This window comes from Homo sapiens, chromosome 6, assembly GCF_000001405.40.
Source record: "Homo sapiens chromosome 6, GRCh38.p14 Primary Assembly".
Taxonomy (NCBI): domain Eukaryota; kingdom Metazoa; phylum Chordata; class Mammalia; order Primates; family Hominidae; genus Homo; species Homo sapiens.
Window position 1 is genome coordinate 12,863,871 of NC_000006.12, and position 25,313 is coordinate 12,889,183.

A 25,313-nucleotide genomic window follows, 5' to 3' on the forward strand; every position below is an offset into this window, starting at 1 on the left:
AGGGTGAGTTCAGTGAAGGTAAATTCTGTAGCAGTTCATGATTCATGAGATTAACTTACAGCAGACGTAGGAAAGGTAAATGGGTAGTAGAGAGGATACAGTTGTTCGAGTTTCATGCACCGACACTAAGGCATTGTGAATCTGGTACCATGTGAAATAGTTACCATTGCTGGTGGTATTCAATACCTTTAATTTCCTGATCTGGCGTAGAGTGGTAATAGAAAAGCTAGACTCAACACCCGATTTATTGGACTGTCTTACTAATCCACTGAGTGTCAATCACAAATAAGGAAGCGAGGATGTGGGTACACAAATTCAGTGGTTCTCAAACTTTTACTGCATGTATGTGAATTGCCTGAAGGGGTTGTACAAACAGATTGCTGGGCCCCATCCCCACAGTGTCGGGTTCAGTTGATTGATGTGGGGCCTGGGAATTTCCATTTTTAACATGTTCTCAGGTGATATTGATGCTGCTGATTCAAAAGGGTGTTGCTGTTTGCGAACTCCATGTAATTAAGAGGAAAATCAGGTCGGGCGCCCTGGCTCACGCCTGTAATCCCAGCACTTTGGGAGGCCGAGGTGGGCGGATCACGAGGTCAGAAGATCCAGACCATCCTGGCTAACACGCTGAAACCCCTTCTCTACTAAAAATACAAAAAATTAGCCGGTCATGGTGGTGGGCACCTGTAGTCCCAGCTACTCGGGAGGCTGAGGCAGGAGAATGGCGTGAACCCAGGAGGCGAAGCTTGCAGTGAGCTGAGATTGCGCCACTGAACTCCAGCCTGGGCAACAGAGTGAGACTCTGTCTCATAAAGAAAAAAAAAAAAAACAGAAGGAAATCACACCCCCACAGTCTTAAATTCTAAGAAATAATTCCTTCAGTTAATTTGTCCTTTTGAAGAGATTCAGTGAAAATCCATGAGACAAACATGGAGACCTCCATGGACTAGAGCATAGTTTCCAGTGTGGATTTCTTCAGTAGCTTAAAGGATTTCATGGTTGACTTATACAGCCCGGCATTTATAATCCACTTCATTCTCTTCTTGATTTTCTTGTTTGTGGCCCTAATCGACTGTTCTTCATTGCTATCTACACAACTAAGTGTGGTGTGCTAGTGCCACTGTGTTAGTGCTGGTTAGCACTAGCCAAGGGCAAGAAGTGGAGGGTAGGGAAGAAAAGGCAAGAGACAGGGTGACCAACCCTTCCCAGTTTTCCTGGGACTACCCCAACTTTTAAAATGGGAAGTTCCTCATCCCAGGAAAACCCCCAGTCCCGGACAACTATGATGGATAGCCACCGTAGCAGAGGCACAGCTTCTGTGGCACTGGGAGGACACTGTGGGCACTGGGAGGACTAGGCAGAGGGAGGAAGGATAAAGACCACTGATAATGTTATTTATACTGACATCTTGACAGCACTGCTTCAGACTAGTGAAATGCCTTGACAATGATGGTATCATGGGAGCAGAAAAATATCCTTCAATACTGATGCACTAATTTGACAAATACCAGCAAGGTCATACCTGCTGCCTTCTGTCTAGATTCCAATATGAGGCTATTGCTGAGATACCATGTAATTGTTTAATGGGTGTGTGTGTGTGTGTGTGTGTGCCTGCGTGTGTGTAGACAATCCTTCATCCCCAGGCTCTTTTAATCTTTGATTCTCTGGTCTTTTCACTCTCTTTAATGGGCACCTTTGTACACTATTCCTATAGGCAGTGGCGTGCTCAGTAGTCTGAAGCTGTAACAAAGCTTCACCATTGTGAAAGCTCTGTCATCCTCTGCTTATTAGAACCATTCAAATATAATAGTTTGCAAAGCTGTAAAATGACAGGTTTGAATTTCTTGATGTTCCGGGACAGTCCCACTTCTAGACAGCTTGCTATGTTTTTCCCACAAGTGTCCTTGATCTTATTGGATGTGGGGGATTCATTTCTTGCATGAGGAGTTTGGTATGTTTTCTTCCAGCTATAAAACCTAATGATTCTCTTCCCCTAGGGAATGCAGATGGCTCAATGATGAAGTTCAGTGGGAGAGCACTGCTTGGCCCTAGGTTCCATCCTGTGCTTTTTGTCTTTTCCCTCCTCCCTCCCCACCCTAAGAAAGGCACCGCCTCCAACAGGAACAGCTGAGGGAGCCTCAGAGTCATCCCCTTTCTGCCTGAGAGAGTGATTCCGGAGGGAGATTTACAACTCTTTCAATTATGTTTTATATTGTATGGGGATAGGCATGGTACTCAGCAAATTTCAGCCCAAGCAACAGTTTTGGGGAAGAACCATAATGATAATAATGCCAGAATTTATTCTTTCCGTGTGCCTAAGTAATTCAAGCTGATGGTGGTGTTTCTGATTACAGACTGAAAGCTTTTCGCTTACTCTCATTTAGAACAAATGGTATATCAAGCAAACAGATTGCATATATTATAGGACCTGAGCTTTTCCTGGTAAAGAAAAAGAGAGAAAAATATTTGGGTTGCATTTTAAACTTAACCTATGGGCTATTTTAACCTCTTCCTCTCTCCCCACCCTTCCACCCACATCCCTGGTAGAGGACTGGTTCCAGGCAGCTCTGAAATTCTCTCATCCATTTCTCTCTCCCTGAAAAAGAATGGAAAAGTTTCAAGAATTTTCCCCCTGCACCCCAGGACTGCTATTTTTTTTTTTATGTCAGAAAGAATTGGTACCTACAAGGCTCCGCCCACTCAATCTTCTTTCCTCCCACACACATGCCATGTCTTTGTAGGCTGATTTGGGGTAATTGAGAAGTCATATTCACAACGTACCATTTATATTCACAATGGTTAAGGAGGCTCTGCAGGGTGCCCAGCTTCCCTCTGCAAATAAAATATTATGCAAGTTGCCTTGCTGAGAAGAGACTCTGTGCTTTGGTGGCAGAGAAGAAATGCCAACAATAGATGGGAGGTATTTTCAGCAGGCTTGTATGCTAGGAAACCAAGTGGCCCGTAGGTGCTAAACTAGCTTTCTGTTTGTCACTGCTGTTGAACCGAAACAAAGCTTTCAAAGGAAATACGTGGTACCGTATGGATTTCAGGGCTACAATGCCATTTTGCAAAATGCTTTTTTATCCTCCTCTCTCCCTCCCCCCAGTTGCCCATTGTGTTTGCTAAGTTTTAAGCTTAGCTAATAGTTTGGAACCTGTAGTGAAGAGAGAGAGAGAGAAGTTCACCAGGCTACAAGCTGCATCAGGCACTGGTGAAAGGAAAAAAAATCAGGCCTCCAGCGAAGGGGGGTTTGCAACATACTTAGGCAAAGGCTCAGTTTTGGACCTCCAGCCTGGGTATTTGTACTGGTCTCTTCAGTTCAGAGGTCAAGACCAAAACCCAGGTCACTTGATCCCCATCCTAGCACTCTAGCCTTCACAGTAGGCACCTGACTGTCTTCTGCATCTTCTGTGGTGGCTGCTTCTAGGAGGCAAGGGAGAGTTGAACCTCACTAGGCTCATTGCAAACTGGAAATAACAATACCTAAATGATCAAGTTCTTCCAACAATTGAATTACATAATGTACAAGTTATTCCTATTTGTTATGCTCTTTTCTAAATTCTTAATATGCACCAATTCCTTTATTAGTAACCATAATGAATTCCAGCTCAGTTATTATCCCCACTTCATTGAAAGTGAGAATGAGGTACAGAGATGGCAACTGACTTGCCCCAGAGGTTAATTAATTCAATGTTTGACAAGGCGCTAATGAATGGAGGAATTAGAATTTTAACACTAGCCCTCTTGCTGGAGAAACTCAGTTCATTATCAGAGCCCTCTCCCAATGCCTAATACATAGCAGCACTTCACAAAATACAAATACGCTGTCATTATCAGTATTAAGAATTTTAAAGTCAGGTGACTACATTGCAAGATGGTGAAATATCAAGAGGTATTTGTTGGGTTTTTTTCCTCCTTTTGTTCCTTGCATAATTTAACTAGATTACCAGAAGCAAGGGGAAGGGAGGAACTGGCCTATTGTCTGTGTGTGGGTAGACATATAAGACAGTCTGTATGCCTAGACCCCTCTATTTTTAGACTAACATTGCCACAGTTCCACACCAATCCATAGATATATTTGCTGGGAATAAGAAGTTCAGGTGCTAAGGCCAGGTACGGTGGCTCATGCCTGTAATCTCAGCACTTTGGGAGGCCAAGGCGGGCAGATCACGAGGTCAGGAGATGGAGACCATCCTGGCCAAATGGCGAAATCCCATCTCTACTAAAAATACAAAAATTAGCTAGGCGTGGTGGCACATACCTATAATCCTAGCTACTCAGGAGGCTGAAGCAGGAGAATCGCTTGAACCAGGGAGTCGGAGGTTGCAGTGAACCAAGATCGCGCCACTGCACTCCAGCCTGGCAACAGGGCGAGACTCTATCTCAAAAAGAAAAAAAAAAAAAAAAAGTTCAGGTGCTGACCAGTGCACATGTCAACCCTTCTAACCCTACCATATTTCTGAAGTTCCTTAAGGAATGATAACCATCTTTTTTTTCTTGTTGTTCATGATGAGATGATATGTATTTCTAAAGATGCATTTGGCATGAAAATACATATTCTGGAGATGTCAACCCCAGTAGAGAAAGGGGAGAGGACACGTGAAGCCAGGATTGGCTGGGAGACAGTCCACAGTCTATCAAGATGAGTGAATCAAGACTCTTTCATCGATTTCACCAAAATAGCACTTGGGGAAGAAGATGGAGATATTGCAGAGAAACACATAATAATAGCAGACAGAGAAAGAAAGGAGCAATGGGAAAGGGTGAGGAGAGGGGAAAGAGAAGAAAGTTGTCAAATTCTTTCTTACTACTCTGAAAATAGCAAAAAGCATATGTCCTGGCCTTTCCCCAGAGGATCATAGAAAGAGTGTAGCAACAGTTTATGAAAACTTAAGGGCAGTTTAAAACATGACCAGGACCTAGACCCCAGGCAGGCATTCTATCATTTAGAACAAAAAGAAAATAATAGCTTCATATTGTCTTTTCACCAAAAGCCAGGAAAATATAAGAACCTCAATTCTGCTTGGAATTCCAAGCAGAATTCCAAAGGGGTTCCACTTTGGAGAACCCCTTTTAGGTAAGAATATCCTAAAACTTGCCCAGTAGTCGGTTCCAGGTCTTGGGTAGCAGGTCCTTGTGAATTCTATTTTACAATCACTAGCAAAGTTCAACATACTCTTCTCTTCATCCAAGCCCCTTTCTACTGCCACCCACAGCCTCCTAATCTGCATGTCCCTCAGAGCTGACTGTGCTTCAGGTAGAACAACCCTGGGCCACCAGAGACTCACAGGGCATTGATAGATTCCCAGCCTGTGGCTGACAGTGGTTCCCCAAGATGTACAGAATGAGGGACAAATTTAGTAGAACATGTAGATTCCTCTATCACCCACCTCCACTTCATAGTCCAACCCTATTTCCCACCCCTAGCACCACCTGCCTACTAATCCAGTCCTGTCTCACACTCCATGCACCTCTACCTAAGAGTCCAGCCCTATCCCAATCCCTTGCACCTCCTCCTGATGATCCAGTCCTAGCCTCAACCACCTGTGCCTCTTCCCAATAGTCCATCTTCTGCACCTCCACCTTCCTGTCTAGCCCTAGCCCCCACTTTGTACCACAATACTGGTCCTCCTGCAGCTTTCCCTGATGGTCCAGCCCTATCTACCACCCTTGCACCTTCCCCTGATGATCTAGCCCTATGCTTGACACTCCAACTAAACTGGGCTCTTCACTGCATTGCAAACCAGTCCTCCTCCTTCCTGCTGACCATAGTGCTTTTGTTAATCACGTTCACTCTGCCTGAATGTCCTTCACAGTCTCTATTCTTGAAATCTCCCCACCTACATGAGATTCTTTTGGATCAGAATTTCTCTATCTTCTCTGTCTGTGGCTCTTTTTAGCCACCTCTTTTTGGTACTTAGCACATTCTATTTTGTAGTTCTATACATTTGAGTGTATCTTTCACACATACGAGAGTGTAAAGTCAATGAACTTGAGTACAGTACCACAGATCTTTTTAGCAATAGTTCCTGAGCTCTTACTCTGTGTCAGGCATTGTCCCTGGTCCTAGGGTTATAAGGTGACTAAACTGTGACCTTAGATAACCTTATGTGATAGTCTGATTATTTATATTGCCCTGCAGCACCTGGCTAAGTGCCTGTAACAAGCCCTCATACATTTTATTGGATCGAATGAAAGAGGAGAAGCAAATTAGCTGGCTGAATGATCACTGTGGATGAATAAGGACATGGAAAAAAAAAAAAAACTCCAATGCTTCCCCTGTATCAACAACATCTCTAATTGGCTCAAGGCAAACATGCACATTTTCTTCAATAAGATGTCAGAGAATGCAGCAGTACATGTAGGTGTAATTACACAGTGCTCTGTCATTCAAAGACATTCTTTGACACTCTCATTTCAGGCAAAGAAATACATATCTTGCTTAGAATGCTTTTCTTTTTCTTCTTTTTTTAGACTATTGCTATGTAATCTAATTCAATTCTTTTAAATGGAAGATTCATTAATGTATGATTACATGTTTCATCAAGGAGATTTTATCAACTCCCCATTTGGAGAGGGATTTGGTAGAATGATTTTTACTAGAAAATGTCAGCCTGCGAAATGTTTAAAATTACAATCATCTAGAAAACACACTGGAAATTCCTTGGGAATTTTATTTGAAGGGTCTGTGTCTCTACATCAGGCACATCTATAATTGCACATATACATATAATTGCACATCTATAATTGCACATATACAGATACACAGGTACACACAACCACGTGCATTTTTCTCTTTCTCCACCTTTGCATGCTGAAGTACGTTAAGCCTCTCCTTCTGGGTACATCAAAACTTCCTAAGCCCATCCTCATACTTCCATTTCCAGCTAGGAGTCAACAGCCACATACACTCACTGACAGGATTGTCTTGGACTGGTGAGTTGGGAAGCTGACTTTTATCAGCTTCTAAAAGGTTTCACCAAAGCAGCTTTGTTTTTGTTTTTTATAAATTAACTCTACAAAAACAAGAGCTAATATCAGTACGTGGGGAAAGTAGTTAATCCTCATACTCAGGAAATAAAATGACTGTCTTGAGACTAAGACTCGAGTAATCATCTGTAATCAATGAGTTTAGGCTTGTGTAGAAGTAATCTAAGAGACTCTTAGCAAATGTGTGGCTGCAACTTTATGGAAAGACCCAAATCTAATCTATCTAGGAAGGAATGAAAGGTATATGATAGCAACTAAGAAAGTTGAAAACTGATGAAGAAGAAAGACTTCTAGCAGAAAATGGACTTCATAGATTCAAGGAAAGGGGGCCAGATGAAAAGAATGTGTTGGTATTTGCTCACCGCTATGTGCTACTGGACTTTGGGACATAAGTATGGATCACACACCTGATTCACTAGACATTTACAAGTCCCAGCCCCACCCTAAAAATGCCTCAAAACGCTTCCCTGTGTCCAAATGTTCTAATAATTTTACAAATGGCTTTTTACAATTGGTTTCTCATAATCATGATCCTAAAAGAGATGCTCACATTGCGTTTGACTTATAAGCTTTTTAAGTCTCAATGTATGAGAGTTCCCCCTTTGATTATGTGGTTTGTTATGGAAAATGGATCCTTTAATCTGCAGCATTTCCTGCATTCTAGATTTAGCTTGTTTCATCCCCATAGTGTCATTTGCCATGCTTCTCTATACCTGATATTTTCTGAAAACTGGCCTGATAAGATTCAGGTTCAGTTCTTTGCCAAGAATACTTTATGGGTAGTCATCTAAGGTCTGATTGCCCCCTGTTTGGTGATGTGAAGGTTGATTAATGGGCTTAGTTAGGTAGTGTCAGCCCGATCCATCCATTCTGAAGTTCCTCGCCAATCTTTCACCTAAACATTTTCACAGCTGTTCATGATTGTCACCTAGATTCACTATTTTATTAGCAGTTAGAAATTGTTATTTAATAATTCTCCCATTTCCTCTGCATTGATTAGCTGGTATTGTTCTACAAAAAAAAAACATTCCCTCATCAAACATTTGGTTACCCTGAAATAGTTTGTATGTGAAAGAGAGGACATGTGATGGATTTTTTTTTTCCTTTTATCTACCAATTTTCAGAATGAGTTAGTGACCAATGAGTTTTTTTACCATTATGAACATGAGTTTTATTTATTTGTTTAGTTATTTATTTTGAGACAGAATCTCACTCTGTTGCCCATAATCTAGATGCTAAGGGTTCTGATTGCTACTGGATTTCCATTGCCTCTAAGCTTTATCAGCTAGGTCCAAGCTAGAAATACGTAAGTGTATTGTGGCTACATTAAAAGAAGACTTTTATCTGTTAGCGGTACATACTGCAATAACTATTAGTGATACACGGAACAAGAGCATGGATTTGTTTTTAAATACCCTAACTAAAAACTAGAAGTAGAAGAATGAAAAAAAATAAACTTGGAAAATGTTAAAGATGGATGATGGATGCATGGAAGTTTATTATACTATTAACTCTACTCTTACTGGATGTTTGAAAATCTCCATGATAAAAAACTTAAGAAAGGGATAATATCTCACAAACACACAGACACACACACACATACATGCAAATATACACCTGCCTTTTCACTTCTTTGCTCTTTGATTTTATGTACATATGTACATAACCACTTAATTACTCAACTCTCCATGTATGTTGATACAAGAAAGAATATAGAGGATATACGATGTGACTATTTAAATTTCAAAAAGGAGAAATCCCTATTATACGTTAATCAATTGTGAGCCTGGTTCCTTTCAGTCCTGTAGTTTGTAGTTCAACTTCTTTCCCCCATGACATCAAATGCCCCCCGAAGTTTCTCATCATTCGTGTTCATCACCACAGTCCTTTAGACATGCTGCATACAGGTACATCCTCCTCAAGGGGGCAGGACCCAAATCCTTGTGCCATCAACCCCTGGCACTCCTGTGGTTGTACAGCTCTTTCAGGTCCATTTTTCTCTTTATTTCTAAATATATTTTTTAGTTCCTTCCTTACATCAATTATTTCTTTCCTTCCTCCCTTCTTTCTTTCTTTTCTTTCTTTCTCGTTCTCCTTCCTTCCTTCCTTGCTTCCTTCCTTCCTTCTTTCTTTCCTTCCTTCCTTCCTTTTTCTTTCTTTCTTTGCTTTCAACAGAGTCTTGTTTTGTTACCTAGGCTGGAGTGCAGTGTGGCACAGTCATGTCTCACTGCAGCGTCAACTCCTGGGCTCAAGTGATCCTCTCACCTCAGCATCCTGAGTAGCTGGGACTATAGGTGCACACCACCACACCCAGCTAACTTTTTAAAAAATTCTTTTGTAGAGATAGGATCTTGCCATGTTGCCCAGGCTGGTCTCGAACTCCTGGGCTCAAGTGATCTTCCCACATTAGCCTCCCAAAGTGCTGGGAATACAGTCATAAGCCAACTTGCCTGGCCTAATATCTTTCTTAAGATAAGACCAGTCTGGATCAGAGATGAAAAAAGCAATAAACATTTATCAATATATGCTGTGTCACTGTGCTGGCCACTAGATATGCAAACATAAATAAAACTCAATGCCTGCTCTCAAGGACATTATAGTGGGAGAGAACGATATAAACACATAAGTGCGTTACTGAGCCTTTAAGTCCCTCAGAAGTTAGTGGAAGAGAAAAAAAGGTTCAATACAGGTAAGTATACGTTTTACATCAGGTGTTCATGTACAGGGATTTCAAGCCACAAAAAAGGAGCAATCAATTCTGGGGAAACCCAGAAGAGAAAGCCTAGAGAGAAGAGGTAGCATGTGAATTCCCCAGACAATGAAGGGGCCTGGAGTCAAGGGAAGAGGGAGGAGATATTTAGGGACAGGAAAAAGTAGATGTACAAAGGCCAAAGAGTGTGAATGGGCAGAGGAGGATGTAAGGGAGAGGACTTGGTTTTCTGCTTTGTACAGTAACAACATATGCCTGTAACTCTGGGCCCTGCAGGCCAAATGCAGCCTCTACTTGGTTTTTGTAAATAACACTTACTGGAACACTGCCATGCCTGTGGGTGTGCAGATTGTTCATGGCTACTTTTACACTAAAAGGCAGAGTTGTGTAGTTGCAACAGAGACCTTTTGGTCTTACAAGGCTGGTTTATGTACTTTCTAGCACTTTACAGAAAATGTTTGCCAACTCTCTCTCTCTCTAAAGCTATAGTTCTCAAACTTTAATGTGCATACAAATCACCTAGGAATCTTGTTTAAATGCGGATTGTGATTCAGTAGGACTGGGTGGGCCTAAAGTTCTGAAATTCTAAGAGTTCTGAAGTTCTAAGATTCCTCCTTCCTTCACCTTTTGTGATGATCCAGGTAATGTCAGTGTTGCTAGATGGCTTGACACACTTTCAGTAGCAAGGATCTAGAGAAACTCTGGATCCTCAGGGCTTGTTCCTCCAGAATAGCAATCCAGTAAGGGGCATCTGAGAGTTGAGAATAAGGGGAGAGCTGAACTCATGGCTAGACACAACTTGGCTTACTAAAGTTCAGAGATGAAAAGCCTCATTTCAGTAATTACAGTTTAGTTTTTTAGAACAGCTGTATAAATACCAAATGGCTATTCATCATATCTTTCTTCTTCCTCAAAACAAGGGTTATACCGTAGACACCCTAGGACTTGCCTCTATTCTTTGTGTCTACATTTCTATTCCTTTTAGCTAAAGATCTAATTGGTAGGCTACATAAGGCTCCCACAAGTTCCTCATCCCCATCGAGCCACCACCATCTACATCCTCCTCCTATCTGCAATTAAATGTGATCAAACACATTTCCAAATGTGGTATCAAACTGAAAGAACCTCTTGCAAAACACAAGAAGAACAAATTCAGTGGGTCTCTGCCTTGAACCAACAATTATAAGAATAATGCCAATTTCCTCCTCCCCCTCCCCAAATCCTTATCACATTGATGGAAAATAAGAAAACGCACCTGAATGACTTAACATATGCTTTGCTTATGTCAGCTTGTCATTTTGAAGGTTGGAGTTGGGAACGCCCTCACCCCTCCTTTTATTTGTTATTTAGAGGATTAGAACTAATTCATCTGGCAGACCTTGAGTTTGAGAGAAAATTTTGAATCATCTGGTATTCAAATGTGTTTATTCTTGGCAAAGAAGAATTTCCTGATTTTGCACCAAATAAATAAATGAACAAATAAATAAATGAGGCTTATGTAAAAAGAACCAAGCTTACAGGGCACATTGGACATCAAATAGCTCTCAAAAGAGTAACATTTACATGAATTAACACCAAATGACTCAGAAACATAAGGATTGAATTCCCACAGGAAATTTACACATGGACATTGTACTTAATGTATTCAATGGCGTGCATGTTACAATTTATCTGGAAAAATCATTTATTACTCATCGTGACTCCACAGGGTTCTTCGTGCTCCATGAGCCCTGGGCCAGGAGTCAAGGCTGAAAGTCCCTGCTCTGCTAACTCAGCAACATTTCTCAAGTCACTTAAACTCGTCACCTCGATATTTGCGTTGTGCCCAGTAAGGCCCATGCTAGCTCTGAAAAGCAGAATTAGGTGAATTTGCCCAAGATCACCCAAAGCTGAGCAGAACCAAGAGTCAGCCTTGGCCTTTTGATCCCAAGTGAAAGGCTTTTTGCAATTTTTTGAGCTGCCCCTGTAAGTAAAAACCATGTCTTTATTATCTTGTTCTTGAAAGACCAGTAAAAAAGGTACCCAGTCCAATTTGACCTAAACCTATAACCCCAAACATTTTTCAGTTGCTATGCTATTTTCTGCTGTAACATTTGGAAATCACTATTGTGGAGATTTGTGTGAGCTCCCAGGCAGCGCTGAAGATTTGTAGTTCCTTCCAGTTAATGGAGAATTTGCTAGATAAACCTGGCTTGTGTTGTCAATATTTTTCGAGCTTTTCTGAGAGGGACTGCAGAAACTAAATGTGACCATGTGACAACACATGCCTTCTGTGTTGCTTATGAATCTCCACCGTGCTCTTTACAAGTGTGTAAAGAGGAGGACCAGGGGCGCTGCGTGGAAAAACCAGGAAGGTCTGCTCCAGCATTCTTGGCCCAACGTTATAATAAAGCTAAGGAGGTTAGGAACACGAATGGGAAGATGGGGACACTATAATCAGTCCATTGAAGCTTTTACAAATATTTCTCAATTAACTCAAAATAAAGAGAACAAAAGGCTGTGAGCAGGTAAGGGCAGATTCATCTCCTCTAGAAGAAGGGCTACCGTAGCCCATCGAACACCTTTGTACCACTTAGGAAAAGGTGCCTCTCTGCAGGACACAGGGCTTAGTGAGCAAAGCATAGGCTGGATTTCAGTCATACCTTCTGCAGAACCTCCTGATACAAGGAAAAAATATTTATACCCTGCTTACGATGTGCCTGAGACTGTTCTAAATGTAAGCATATATATTAATTATGTAATCTTCATAATGATCCAATGACCAGACTATTATGTACAAAAGTAACAATACTCAGGTTAATATCATTATCATTCCCAGTTTACAGATAAAGAAGCTGAGACAAGAAGCAGTTAAGAGACTTATCCAAGGTCGCACAGCTAGTAAACTGCAGAGTTAGAAATCTGCTCTAATGAGAAAATGATCTTCTAAACTTCAGCTTACTCCTGCCTTTGGAGCATTAAAAACACATCACTGTCTTCTCAGGGAGGACTTCTCCTGCAAGGCCAAGCATGCAGATATTTAATCTGTATTGTCTGACTTAAAAGACTGTACACAGACTAAGAAGCATTGATTCCAAAATACACATCAACAAAAAAAAGTCCTAAACTTGCATCATCCTTAGGTAAGTATATTAGTCAAAGTTCTCCAGAGAAACAGAACCAGTAGGATAGATATAGATATAGATTAGATATAGGTAGGTTTATTATGAGGAATTGGCTCATAGGATATGGAGGCTGAGAAGTCCCATAATTTGCATCTGTAAGCTGGAGACACAGGAAAGCTGGTGGCGTAATTCAGTCTGAGCCTAAAGGCCTGAGAACCAAAGGTGCTGATGGTATAAATCCCAGTACAAAATCAAGAGAAGATGAGATGAGATGTTTCTAGCAGTTGTGCAGGAAATAAAGAGGGGATGCAAGTTCCTCCTTCCTTCACCTTTTGTTCTTCTCAGGCCCCAAACAGATTGGATGATACTCTTCCACGCTGAGGAAAGAAATCTACATTACAGAATCCACTCAAATGCTAATCTCGTCCCAATGCACCCTCACAGACACATGTAGAAACGGTGTTTACTCTGAGCACCCTGTGGCCCAGTCAAGTTGACACGACACATAGAATTAACCCTCATGATAAGGTTCACAACAAAGCAAAGCCATTGGGGTGACCGCTGAAAGGGTTGCAGTAGAATGACTTGTATGTATGCTTGTTGTGTGATTGTCACACCTGTAATGTGGGTGCTTCAGGGTATATGAAGCCATTGCCTTCTGAAGGTCAGTATATGATCAACAAAGGCTTTGATGGCCATCCAGGGTGACAGTAGAGTAGTTTTTGAGATAATGCCTCTCCTGGAAGAAAATACTGTTAAACACTATGTCGGTGAACTGGATGCACATCATCCAGCCCTAATCAATTGAGAATAGAGACCACCTACTGTATACCGGAGCATCCAGCATACAGAACTGGAATGTGCCCAATCACAGCCGTCTGTTTGCTCCTGAGCCTGTTCCACCCCCATCATCCTGCCCTTGCCTACAGAACTCTGAAGGGTCCCTAGGTGTGCCCCGGGCTTCCCCATTTGTGTGGCTCTGCGTTTGCTCCCACCTCTTCTTGGATGATCTTCTTGATTGTCCATCTGGCAAGCTACTCCTCCTTTATCAGAGGATTCATGTCCCCACGCTGTGACACTTTCTCTAATTCCCCCAAGATCTTCCTTCCAACATAAGTTCTCAACTGCACTGTGCGCTCACCTTCATAACAGCAATTTAGGCTCAGTGTCCACAATTCAGGCTTTGGAGTTTAATGGAATTTTCTCCCTCCTGGGCTTCTTGACTCTCTGGCATCTGCTGACTCTTCCTCAGATGAAGATGATCAGAGTCCCCCTCTCACAGTGGGGAAGATCAAATGATACACTCACTTAAAAGCTCAGAAAGGCTCCAATATGTGTTTCCCAGTCATATCATGCTGGGTTGCAGTTGTCAGCTAAGTGTTCATTGCTCTTTGAGGCCAAAATCATGCTTTTTCCACCTCAGATTCCAGCGCACTTAGCAAAGTACCTGATTAGGATAAGCCTTCGGTGAATATGTATTAAACAAAGGAATGAATAAACATTAGAGCAGCCAAGAACCTTACAGGGGCTCTTAGCTGATGTTTTGCCATGAGTACAAGGACCCATTTCAAAAATACAATTTGATGGTCCCCACAAAATCATAGCTATTTTTAATATCTGTGGATTGAGAATATAATAAGCTGCTATGGATTTGATGAACTTTTGAAAAAAATCTCTGCTACCCACCAGGGGCTTACAATCCCCAGCTTGGGGCCACACATCTAATTCAACTCCTGTACTTTAACGGTAGAAAAATGTCAACATTGAAATTGAGTATTTCTTAGGTCACAGAACCAAGTGACTGTAGAGTCAGAACAAGAAAGTAAGTCTCTTGAAGCCCTTGCCCTTGCTCTCAGGGAGCTTATCATCTTACAGGGGAACCCCAGCTAGCTCATATATCAGATACTTTGGAAGAAACATAAAGCTCTCTATTACCAAGAGCTGAGTGGTGAGCCAAAAATTGACAAATGAAGTTGGAGCTCAGGCTGGTAATATAGTGGTTGCTCTGGGGATTTTTTAGTGGGCTTCTGACAAATACTGAAAAGTGAATATTTCACTTCTGAAATATTTAGAGCACCAGTGAGCAGCTCAGTGTCACTAAGTTGCCTTGTCCCCCTTTAAACTTCCTTGGGTCCTGAAAGTGTTTATATTATACTTTGAAACTGTTGTCTAAAACAGGAGGAGGTAGATAAAGAGGCGTGAGACAGATTTAGGTGCACCCTTTTCAGTGGACTCCTTTGGAATTTATGACTCCATGCAATCATCACCCGTTTAAAATTTCACCTGTGCCTCTGCTTTTATCAACAGCATTGAAAAGGCACGTGGAGCACTGGGGGTTGTTAATAGTCTGGAGATGTAGTGTGATGGCTCACAGTTTCAATATTTTAATACAGTTCTTGCTTACAGTCATGTTTCTCAAGCAGGCTGGTTTTGCTCCCGTGGAGTGTATTGCAGAGGCTATTGCTGGAGGCGATGAAAATTTTAGGAGGCTATGACAATCATCTGAGCAAGAAATTTGAACCTTGAGTGTGAACCAAGGGAGAGACAGTGGTGCAGACGGGGAAAGGATAGACCTGAGAGAAGAGTAATCTCTCTGAAGAGAACATGGGTCTGTCTTGCCCAGTTGAGTGTGGAAATTGAGAACAAGCGTGGAATAAAAAATAATACCATTGCCCAAGACCACTCAACTCTTTTAAATGTCACCCTAAGTAGGGAAGCCTTGTAGGTCAGGCAACTGGGGAACCCTCGGAGACCCCTTGGCTTTTTTTCTGCATTTACACTCACCTTCCCCAGGTACCCAGTATTTTCTAGGAGCCACCAGAAGTAGCAGGTCTTGTCTTCTTATTCTTTTTTTCTCTGGCTTTCTTAGACCTGATTTGTGACCTTTTTCTCAGGAGCTTTTTGTCCCTGTCAGAGACTTGATGCAGGGCTAGGTCAACACTAACTCGTAATGATATCAATAGCCAACACATATTGAGTATTAAGTATTTTCCATTTATTTTCCTGTTTGGTCCTTAACAAGAACTCTCTGAAACAGATAATATTATTATTCCCATTTTTTTCAGATGGTAAAATCAGCAACACAGAAATGAAGTGTCAAGATTTGAACCTAGACAGTTTGACTTCATAACCTTTACTTCTCTACCCCACCTCTTCCACAAACAACAAGGGATGAATCAGATCCACAATGGCCATTATTCTACTCTCGTATGGGCACTTTCCTCTATCCTTGTAGTAGCTAGGACACTGTTATACACATATCTAATAATTTGAATAGATCACTAGTAAAAGGATACTCATTAAGGCCACATTATTCCCAGAATTTTGAGGTGCAAAGAGCTAACATCTATTGAGTGTTTATTATGCTCCAGGATCACCACATGCTTATGTGCATGCATTCACCTAAACTTCACAGCAACCCTTTGAGGTAGGTACTATGATCACCAAGTCTATTTCATAAATGAGGAAATGGAACTCCAGAGATCGCATGCCAATTCAGGGACAGATTTGGAGATTCATACTCTCAGATTGTCTCTAGAACTCATACTTTTTTTTCTTTTTTTTTTTTTTTTGACAGGATCTCACTCTGTCACTTAGGCTAGAGTGCAGAGATGTGATCTCAGCTTACTGCAGCCTTGACCTTCCTGGCTCAAACGATCCTCCCACTTCTAGCCTCCTGAGTAGCTAGAACTACAGGACCTTTGTGTCCCTGTCAGAGACTTGATACAGGCACACACTACCTGGCTAATTCTTGTATTTTTTGTAGAGAAGAGGTTTTGCCACGTTGCCCAGGCTCATCTGGAACTTCTCAGCTCAAGTGATCTGTCCACATTGGCATCCCAAAATGCTGGGATTACAGGTGTGAGCCACTGCACCTGGCCTAGAATTCATACTTTTAACCATCATTCTGTGCTGTAATACAGGTGTACCCACAAAGAGTTCATAGTCGTATAAAGGAAATTTATGCATAAATAAGAGCCCCAGAATGGATCCCAAAATATATAATATGGGTTTTTATAACCTAAGCAAATGTGGAATTGAAGTGCAAAGATTAGGCAAGATTTGAACAAAGGAAAAGAAAAAAAAGAAAAGCACTCCAGGTATGGAGGTCAGCATGAGAAAAGACAATAGGTAAAAGCAAATTGATTCATTGATTGGCAGGGTCAGAGGTTTCATGTTCGCGGAACAGGCAAGCTGTGGCTCAAAAGGAAATTTGGAGCTTTTGATTATCAGGCTGTGAAATGTGATCTTTTATCATGTAGATTTTTAAAAAAGAAATGAAATGGCGTAGTGAAGGTCATTATCTAAGGGGGATATTGAGCCTCAGTTTCTTCATCTGTAAAATGGAGCTATTAAGAGTACCTGACAGGTAGTCTGGGCGAAGGTGTGTAAAGTACGAAGCACAGTGCCAGGAATAGCGTAAGTTTGCAACAAATGGTAGTTATCTGACTGTGGACTAAGAGCTGAATTGTGTAGGGAAGAACTTGACAACAGGGAGCTGCGTGAAAGGCGGCAGATGTAAAAAAGGAAGGACAGTGGGGGCTCTTGTTGCCATGGTGAATATTAAGGAAGAGGGCGATGCTGTATGCTGAGTGACTCTCAAGTTTCCAGCCTAACTGGCACTCATGGAAGAGGTGGAGAATTTAAGATAGAGTGAGCTGATTTTTGTGGAAGGGTTGCATTTGGCGCTGAACCTGCAGGGACAATGGTGATAGCTAGGAGGCGAGTGGAGATAAGAAGAGCTCTTTAAAATGTCACTATGTGTGGTCCTGAGTTTGGAGTCATCTATGTAGATGTCACATACCTCCTTGCTCCACTCCCTGGAATACTCTTCCCCCAGACATGCCCGTGATTGGCTCTTCTTATCATTCAGGGATTAGCTCTAGTGTCACCTCTTAAGACCCTCTTCCCTCTCCATTTCATCACCCCAATTTGTTTACTTCATAACGTCATCACTCTTCTTCCCCCAGGAGAGTGTGAGCTGCAAGCAGACAGGAGCTTGGTCCTGTTGCCCACGGAATCTCTAGGGCCCAGAAAAGTGTCTGGAACACAGTAGGACTCGCGATGTCCTAAGTAAATGGTACTAAACACTATTAAACTCAGTAAATAGACATACACTTGAATACGTGAATAAATAAAGCTATGATGTCCCATGCCAGCAGAGAGTGAGAAAGAAGGGCAAAAGGTCAGGATCCAACCCCTTGGAAATCTCCACGATGCAGGAGGCAGGTTTGGGATAAAGGAAGAGTAAAAATGAAGTCAGAGAGGTGGGAAATGAACCAGGGTACAGAAGTGTCCTGAAGACCAAGGCAGAAGGTGTGTTAAAGACAAATTCAACATGGTCAAATGCTGCAGGAGAATTAAAGACAATGAACGATAAGAACAGGGCATTTGACTGGGGGCTGGGGCTTCGTTCACTGTGAGGATGCACCCGAGGCTGAGAGGGACAGGGGGATGGAGGGAAGCAGGTGCTACTACCCACCTATTGCCCATTGTTAGGAGTCTTCGCATGGGAAACAGGGTGAAAAATAAGATAGTAGCTTAAGGAAGGAGGAATGAAGATGAAAGTGGCTGCTTGATTGGAGAGAACTTGGCCTGAGAAGGGAGAGATTGGAGATGATTAAGAAATAGGGACGATGATAATAAGAAGAGGACTTTGCCCCCAAGAAGAGGGAAGGCGGATTGAGCAGATCCATGAAATTGACTCCCAGATCCACATAGTGACTTTTTATGACTTGTGGCAATTTATCTCATTACCATGCAGTCACAGCTTCAAACCTATGAAAAGAAATATAAAAATACAAAAAAAAGAAGAAGAAGAATGCCAACTAATGCCTTGGCAGTGTAGAAAGAAATGTTTTCATCTGTTTAAAATCAATTTAGGGGCAAAATAAGAGCATCTGAGGCAGAATGTGAAAATAATCAGAGAGATGAAAATGGTTAAAATTTTAAAAAGTAAAAACAAAAAAAGAAAAGCAATGTATGAGTACTGTCATCACCATAGAGACTAGCCCCCAGGTTGGAGCAAACCCTATCGCCCTTCTGGAAGGGTGGCTGTCTACTCTGGAAAATTGGATGGTTTCCTGGCTTCTTACCCTCCTTGTGAGGTAGTTGTGTGGGTTCAATAGAAAAAATAATATTCTGTAAAGCACTTAGAAGTATGTTATAAATGAGTGTGAGCTGGTGTAGTAATGCTTGAAAGTGATTTTATTATCCCAGATATAACACGACAGCTTTATGTGCACCCATGGAGAAGTGATTAATGGGGCTCCAGCACCTTCCTGCAAAGGTCTTTAAAAGCACCTGTTTGGAGGAGGTGTTAGGCCAGCAGGAAGTTTAATGATTCTAGTGATGCTGCTGCCCTGGGGGAAGTAATCAGAGGCTGCCAGCAGCATGGTCCCCACAGGTAGGCTGAGATAAGTCAGAGTTATGGAGTTGGGAGCTTGACAAGAGGATCCCCCCACCCCAGCCCCTGCCTGAGGGAGAGCCAGCTGGATTGTAGCATTCTCAGGTATATCAAAACAAGAATGTCAGGCTTTTTTTGTTTGTTTGTTTTTGAGACAGAGTCTCTTTCTATCACCCAGGCTGGAGTGCAGTGGTGCCATCTCGGCTCACTGCAACCTCCACCTCCTGGATTCAAGCAATTCTCCCTGCCTCAGCTTCCCAAGTACCTAGGATTATAGGTGCCCGCCACCACGCCCAGCTAATTTTTGTATTTGTAGCAGAGAGAGGGTTTTGCCATATATGCCAGGCAGGTCTCGAACTCCTGACCCCAGGTGATCTGTCCTCCTTGGGCTCCCAAAGCGCTAGGATTACAGGTGTGAGCCACCGTGCCCGTCCAAGCTTTTTTTTTTTTTTAAAGGTAGAAAGTCTGAAAAAATAAAACCACACAGAAGAGAAAAAGAAATACCCCAACTCCAGGCCCCAGGAGACCTGAGACCTGAGTCCTGAGTCCTGAGTCCTGAGTCCTGTGCTGTCTGGGGATGGCTCAGGTCCTGTTTTCTCCTTCTCCCTGCGGGTCTGAGAGCTGGAACAAGTTGATAAGATCTGGCTCTGGGACTGAAGGATACTGGCATCTTGATAGTGCTCACATCCCGTTCTTTATCTTCTCCTACTCTTTTTCCTTTCCTCCTGCATACATATCATAATTCTCTTTTCACTAGTACCAGTCCTTTGGCCTTACTAGGTATTGTCTTATAAGATTCCAGTATATGTATTTCTTCATCTGCCCACTCACATGCACACACACACACATGCCCATACATACACATACATATACACACAGTCACACATGTACCCACATACACACACATACACAAATATACACACATAACCACACACATGTAGCCACATACACACATGCATACATATATACACAGTCACACATGTACCCACATACACACACATACACAAATATACACACATAACCACACACATGTACCCACATACACACATGCATACATATACCTATGCAAACACATATACATACATACAAACATGTTCTCCAGCGTATCATAAGCACTTAAGGGCAGGGACCTGACCCATACATTTTTATTTCCCAATATCTGTCCCACTACTATGCTCAGTCAATATTTATGGTTTTTATTTCATTTTTCATGTCTCTCTGTACATTTGTAACTTAGCACAAACTTTGGTTGAAGGGATCATATACACACAGAGATGGGCATCATGGTTCAGTCCAGACAAGTACATAATTGGTTTACTGAATTTTTTTTTTTTTTTTTAGACGGAGTCTCACTCTGTTGCCCAGGTTGGAGTGCAGCGGTGCAATCTCGGCTCACTGCAAGCTCCGCCTCCTGGGTTCATGCCACTCCCTTGCCTCAGCCTCCTAAGTAGCTGGGACCGCAGGCGCCTGCCACCACACCCGGCTAATTTTTTTGTATTTTTAGTAGAGACAGGGTTTCACCATGTTAGCCAGGATGGTCTCGATCTCCTGACCTCATGGTCCGCCCGCCTCAGCCTCCCAAAGGGGTGGGGTTACAGGCGTAAGCCACCGCGCCCGGCCTTTGGAATTTTGTATGCGTCAAAATCATGGCAGGCATCAATGCATCATTCATTCATTCATTCACTCATTAAACACCACTGAATACCTGGTACTGTGTACACTATACACACACACTCACAAACACACACAAACACATACACACACACAAATCCTTGCTCTCTAGTAACCCAATTTTGAAAAAGACTAATCATAAATAAACACTTACAAGATGGCTTACTTTAATAGGAGAGCTGGATAAAGGAACCAGTGGAGTTTTCTCGATAATTTAGCAATCTGCTAAATTATTGGAGTCGAGTCCTAGAGGATGAACAGGACCATCTACCTTGTGGAAAGCCTTCTTTGTGCCTAGTAATGCTAACACCATCCCTCTTCAACCCACTCAGAGACAGTGCAGAGCTGAGGGCACCACTGATGCTTGCTTCTGCCTACAGCCTAGAGTGAGGTTGCCACACATCCCTGCGGAATGCAGGGAAGGTCCCGTGGAACTGCCTTGCGTCGGACCTAGACCGCCCCATGATAAAGAAATGCTTTCATCCAGCTCCAGAGTGGCCTTTCCATGTGCATCTGGTACTGTTTGAGAAAACTTCTGGGGGAAGGCTGTCCTCAAGCATCTGTCCACATCCCTTGCAGGCTGTCAGAATACTGATTAATTTATTAACGTGGGTTTTCCTGTAGGCAATTATCATTTGACCCACTTAAAGGGAAATGCCTGCCTGCCTTTGATCAAAGAATTCCTATTATCTGGAAAATTGGTTTTCTAGTAAGCAGGGATAGAGGATGTTTGAGGCTTTGGCTATTTTTTCCCCCTTTGAAGTTGGAAATTGCAATCTGGCTTTAGAAATAGCAAAGATGCATTTTCTTTCTGTCTCTCTGGCCGTCCCCTTACAGGGTTTGTTTAATGAACCATTTCACCAGAAGGATTATAGTTTGAAAGTATCCTCACAATGACACAGCCACTTGCATGTCGCTTTATTCCTAGAAAAAATACTGTTCTTTATTTACACCCTTACAAACGTGGAAATCAAGGGGGCAGTTCTCATCTGATGCTAGCGATGGCAGGCACACGGAATAAGATCTGGGAACACAATTGTCCATTTAAACCCTGTCCAAGAGGCCGGACACAGTGGCCCACGCCTGTAATCCTGGCACTTTGGGAGGCCGAGGCGGGCGTATCACCTGAGGTCAGGAGTTCAAGACCAGCCTGGCCAACATGGTGAAACACTGTCTCTACTAAAAATACAAAAATTAGCCAGGCCTGGTGGATGGCACTTGTAATCCCAGCTACTCGGGAGGCTGAGGCAGGAGAATGGCTTGAACCCAGGAGGCGGAGGTTTCAGTGAGCTGAGATCACACCATTCCACTCCAGCGTGGGTGACAGGGTGAGACTCCATCTCTAGAAAACAAACAAAAACAGAAAACAAAACAAAAAACCCTGTCCAAGGAAGCTTCATAACTGACTCTACCTTTATCTCAATATATTGGCTCATTGTTGCCTTGTTATGAATGAAGCAAACCACAAGTGCATATAATCCTCATGTTAAAGTTGTTGTTTGATTGTTAAAAAAAAAAGGCAACTTAAGAAAAAACATTCAAAGGTCACAGACTTACACTTTCCTGAAAATGAAGGAAAACTTTTAAAAGTTAAAAGGTCACTCTCAATGAGAGCAATTCCCATATCAGAGAAAAGCATTTCCATCATACTTTTTATTATTATACACATTCTCACTTGTTTCTACTAACCGCTTTTAATATTTTTTCATATTAAATGTTCAAAATAACTCTTTGGAGTCATATTTTATGCCCATTTTACAGAAGAGTTAATTGAGACAAGTAGAGAGATTAGATAAGTTCCCCAAGGACATGCACCCAAAGGATTCGCTGAACTTGAACTCTCAAATGTCACATCTGCTATTCCCACATCAGTGCATGGTTGGGGAAGAAAAGGAAACACCACAACCCAACAACACAGGACCCAACAGAGAACCTTCCGAAGGAAACCCACTCACAGCTCATGGAGACACCTGATGCTGAAAGGAGAGAAGACAGGGGAGAAGTGCTCTTTCGTTTTTTGTGTCTGATACTTCCTTTCTGCAGGGACTTAATGATTAGGTGGCAGGTGGAATCTTAAGGAATGCAGTTCCAAAAAAAAAAAATGCCTTTGCTGTCACTTCAAAAAACAGTAGCAAGAGGGATGGGAGGTGTGAATCATGAAGCAAAAAAGTTTGATTCCAAGCACGGGATCCCAACAGAAGGTGGTGGTCGGTTTCAGAGCAGCAGCGTGCAGCTCCAATGTGATAAAATGGCTCCTCCTCCCCCTCTTCCTCCTCTTCCCCTTGTCCTCCACCCCCTCCTCCTCCTTTTCTTTTTAATGAGCTGGAGACTTTCCCAGCCAGCCATGTGCTGTTCCACTCAGTTGGCCAGCACCAAGGGGCCTCCTTTTACTTTACTTCAGCCAGTCCCTCCCAAGTTTGGGAGAATCAAGGCCCCTTCCTGTGCTCCTCAGGTTCCACTCCAATTGTTCTTCTCCTCGGGGAATCCTCTGCTCCTTTGAACATGCACCAAAAGGAAGAATGGAGGGACTTTCATGCTAAAATGCCAGGCACCTGAAGACAGTAAAGGGAGGCTTAACCTTATAACAGGCTTAATACGTTGCAGCTTTCTGCTGAGTCCTTATAGGCATGGAATGCAGCTCACATGCCCCTGTTCTTCATTTCCCCAAATCTTACTTGCGAACTGAAAACCTGCCGGCTAAGCTAAGCACTCATAGCCTCTTTCCTCCATCCTGTCACTGACCCTTATCATCTAGCAGCGTCTATCCATGGAACATCACCTTCTCAGTCAGAAAAGCTGGAAACCCCCAACATGGAGCATGACATTCGCTCTTTGTGGTTTTCTTACTCATGCCCTCATTTGCCAAATGCTTTCAACAAACATTTATAGAGTCCACTATGTGCCAGGCATTACTCTAGGTGCTCAGGATACACAGATGGGTACAACACTATCTCTAATCTCAGGAAGCATATTGTTATGGTCTGAATGTCCCCCAAAGTTATGGGTTGAAACTTAATCTCTATCATAGTAGTATTGGCCAGGCACGGTGTCTCACACCTGTAATCCCAGCACTTTGGGAGACCAAGGCGGGTGGATTGCCTGAGCTCAGGAGTTCGAGACCGGCCTGGGCAATATGATGAAACCCTGTCTCTACTAAAATACAAAAAAAAAATTAGCCGGGCATGGTGATGGGCACCTGTAGTCCCAGCTACTCGGGAGGCTGAAGCAGGAGAATTGCTTGAACCCAGGAAGCAGAAGTTGCAGTGAGCCAAGATTGAGCTACTGCACTCTAGCCTGGGCAACAGAGTGAGACTCCATCTCAAAAAAAAAAAAAAAAAAAAAAATGGCTGGGTGAGGTCTTTGGGGAAGTGATTAAGTCATGAGGGCTCTGCTTCCATAAATGGATTAGTGCCTTAGAATGGGGCTGGAAGGAAGCAGCTGAGGCCATTTTTGCTCTTTTGCCACATGGGGATACAGCGTTCATTCATCCCCTTTTGCCCTTTTGCTCCTTCTACGACATGAGCATGCCTAGCTGGTGCCATCTATTAGGAATGGGCCCTCACCAGACACCAAACCTGTGGGTGCCTTGATTTTGGACTTCCCAGCCTCCAGAACACTGAGAAATATATTTATATTCTTTATAAATTACCTAGTTTCAGGTATTTTGTTATAGCAGCACAAATAGACTAAGACATGTATCATTTAACAGAAAAGTTTTGAATGGAAATCCACATTTTAATAAAGTATACCTATGTTAGCATTTATAATTAATCATAATTTTTTAAAACCTCAAGTCATGAAAATTAGTTTTATTTAACTCTTTTAAATGCCCATTAATGGAACAACTTTTAGATTTTCTAAATAAAATATGTGTTTTTTTAAATGTTTTGCACTCTAAGAAAGAAACCATTCACTTATCTAGAGAACACACCCATCCAAAATGACTTCATATTAGTCAGTTTTGCTGCAGTACAAACAACTCCAAAATCTCAGTAACTTGCAATATGTATTTCTCTCTCACGTTATATGTGTGCTTGGTGGTCACCTATGGCTCAGTCCCATGGGTCTTCTGATTTCAGAACAGCTGCCAAAGGTATCTGAGAGGGAAAGAATAAGAAAAGTGATGGAAATGTGCAATGCTTCTTGGAATTTTCTTCTTTGATGAAATGTATGTCATACCCAATTATGTTTCATTGCCCAAAGCAGGTTACAAGATCAAGGTCAAAGTCAATGGGGTAAGGCCAGGCATGGTGGCTCACACCTGTAATCCTAGCAATTTGGGAGGCCAAGGTGGAAGGATAACTTGAACTCAGGAGTTCAAGACCAGTCTGGGCAACATAATGAGACCCTGTCTCTAGAAAAAATCAAAATAATTAGCCAGGCATGGTGGCTTGAGCCTTGGGAGGCTGAGGTGGGAGGCTGAGGCAGGAGG

General features: G+C 42.4%; 1 protein-coding gene across 13 annotated transcripts in view, besides 1 other annotated feature; it reads left to right on the forward strand.

The window, feature by feature from the left end:
* The window catches only part of PHACTR1 (phosphatase and actin regulator 1), a 571,071-nt gene that overhangs the window by 147,104 nt on the left and 398,654 nt on the right, over window positions 1–25,313 (forward strand). The window lies entirely within an intron of this gene.
* Window positions 23,114–23,717: an enhancer, noted in NCBI's record as "OCT4-NANOG hESC enhancer chr6:12887216-12887819 (GRCh37/hg19 assembly coordinates)". NCBI's record gives its function as "activates a minimal SCP1, AML or CMV promoter by ChIP-STARR-seq in naive H9 embryonic stem cells {active_cell/tissue: H9 hESC(naive)}" and the evidence as "EXISTENCE:reporter gene assay evidence [ECO:0000049][PMID:30033119]".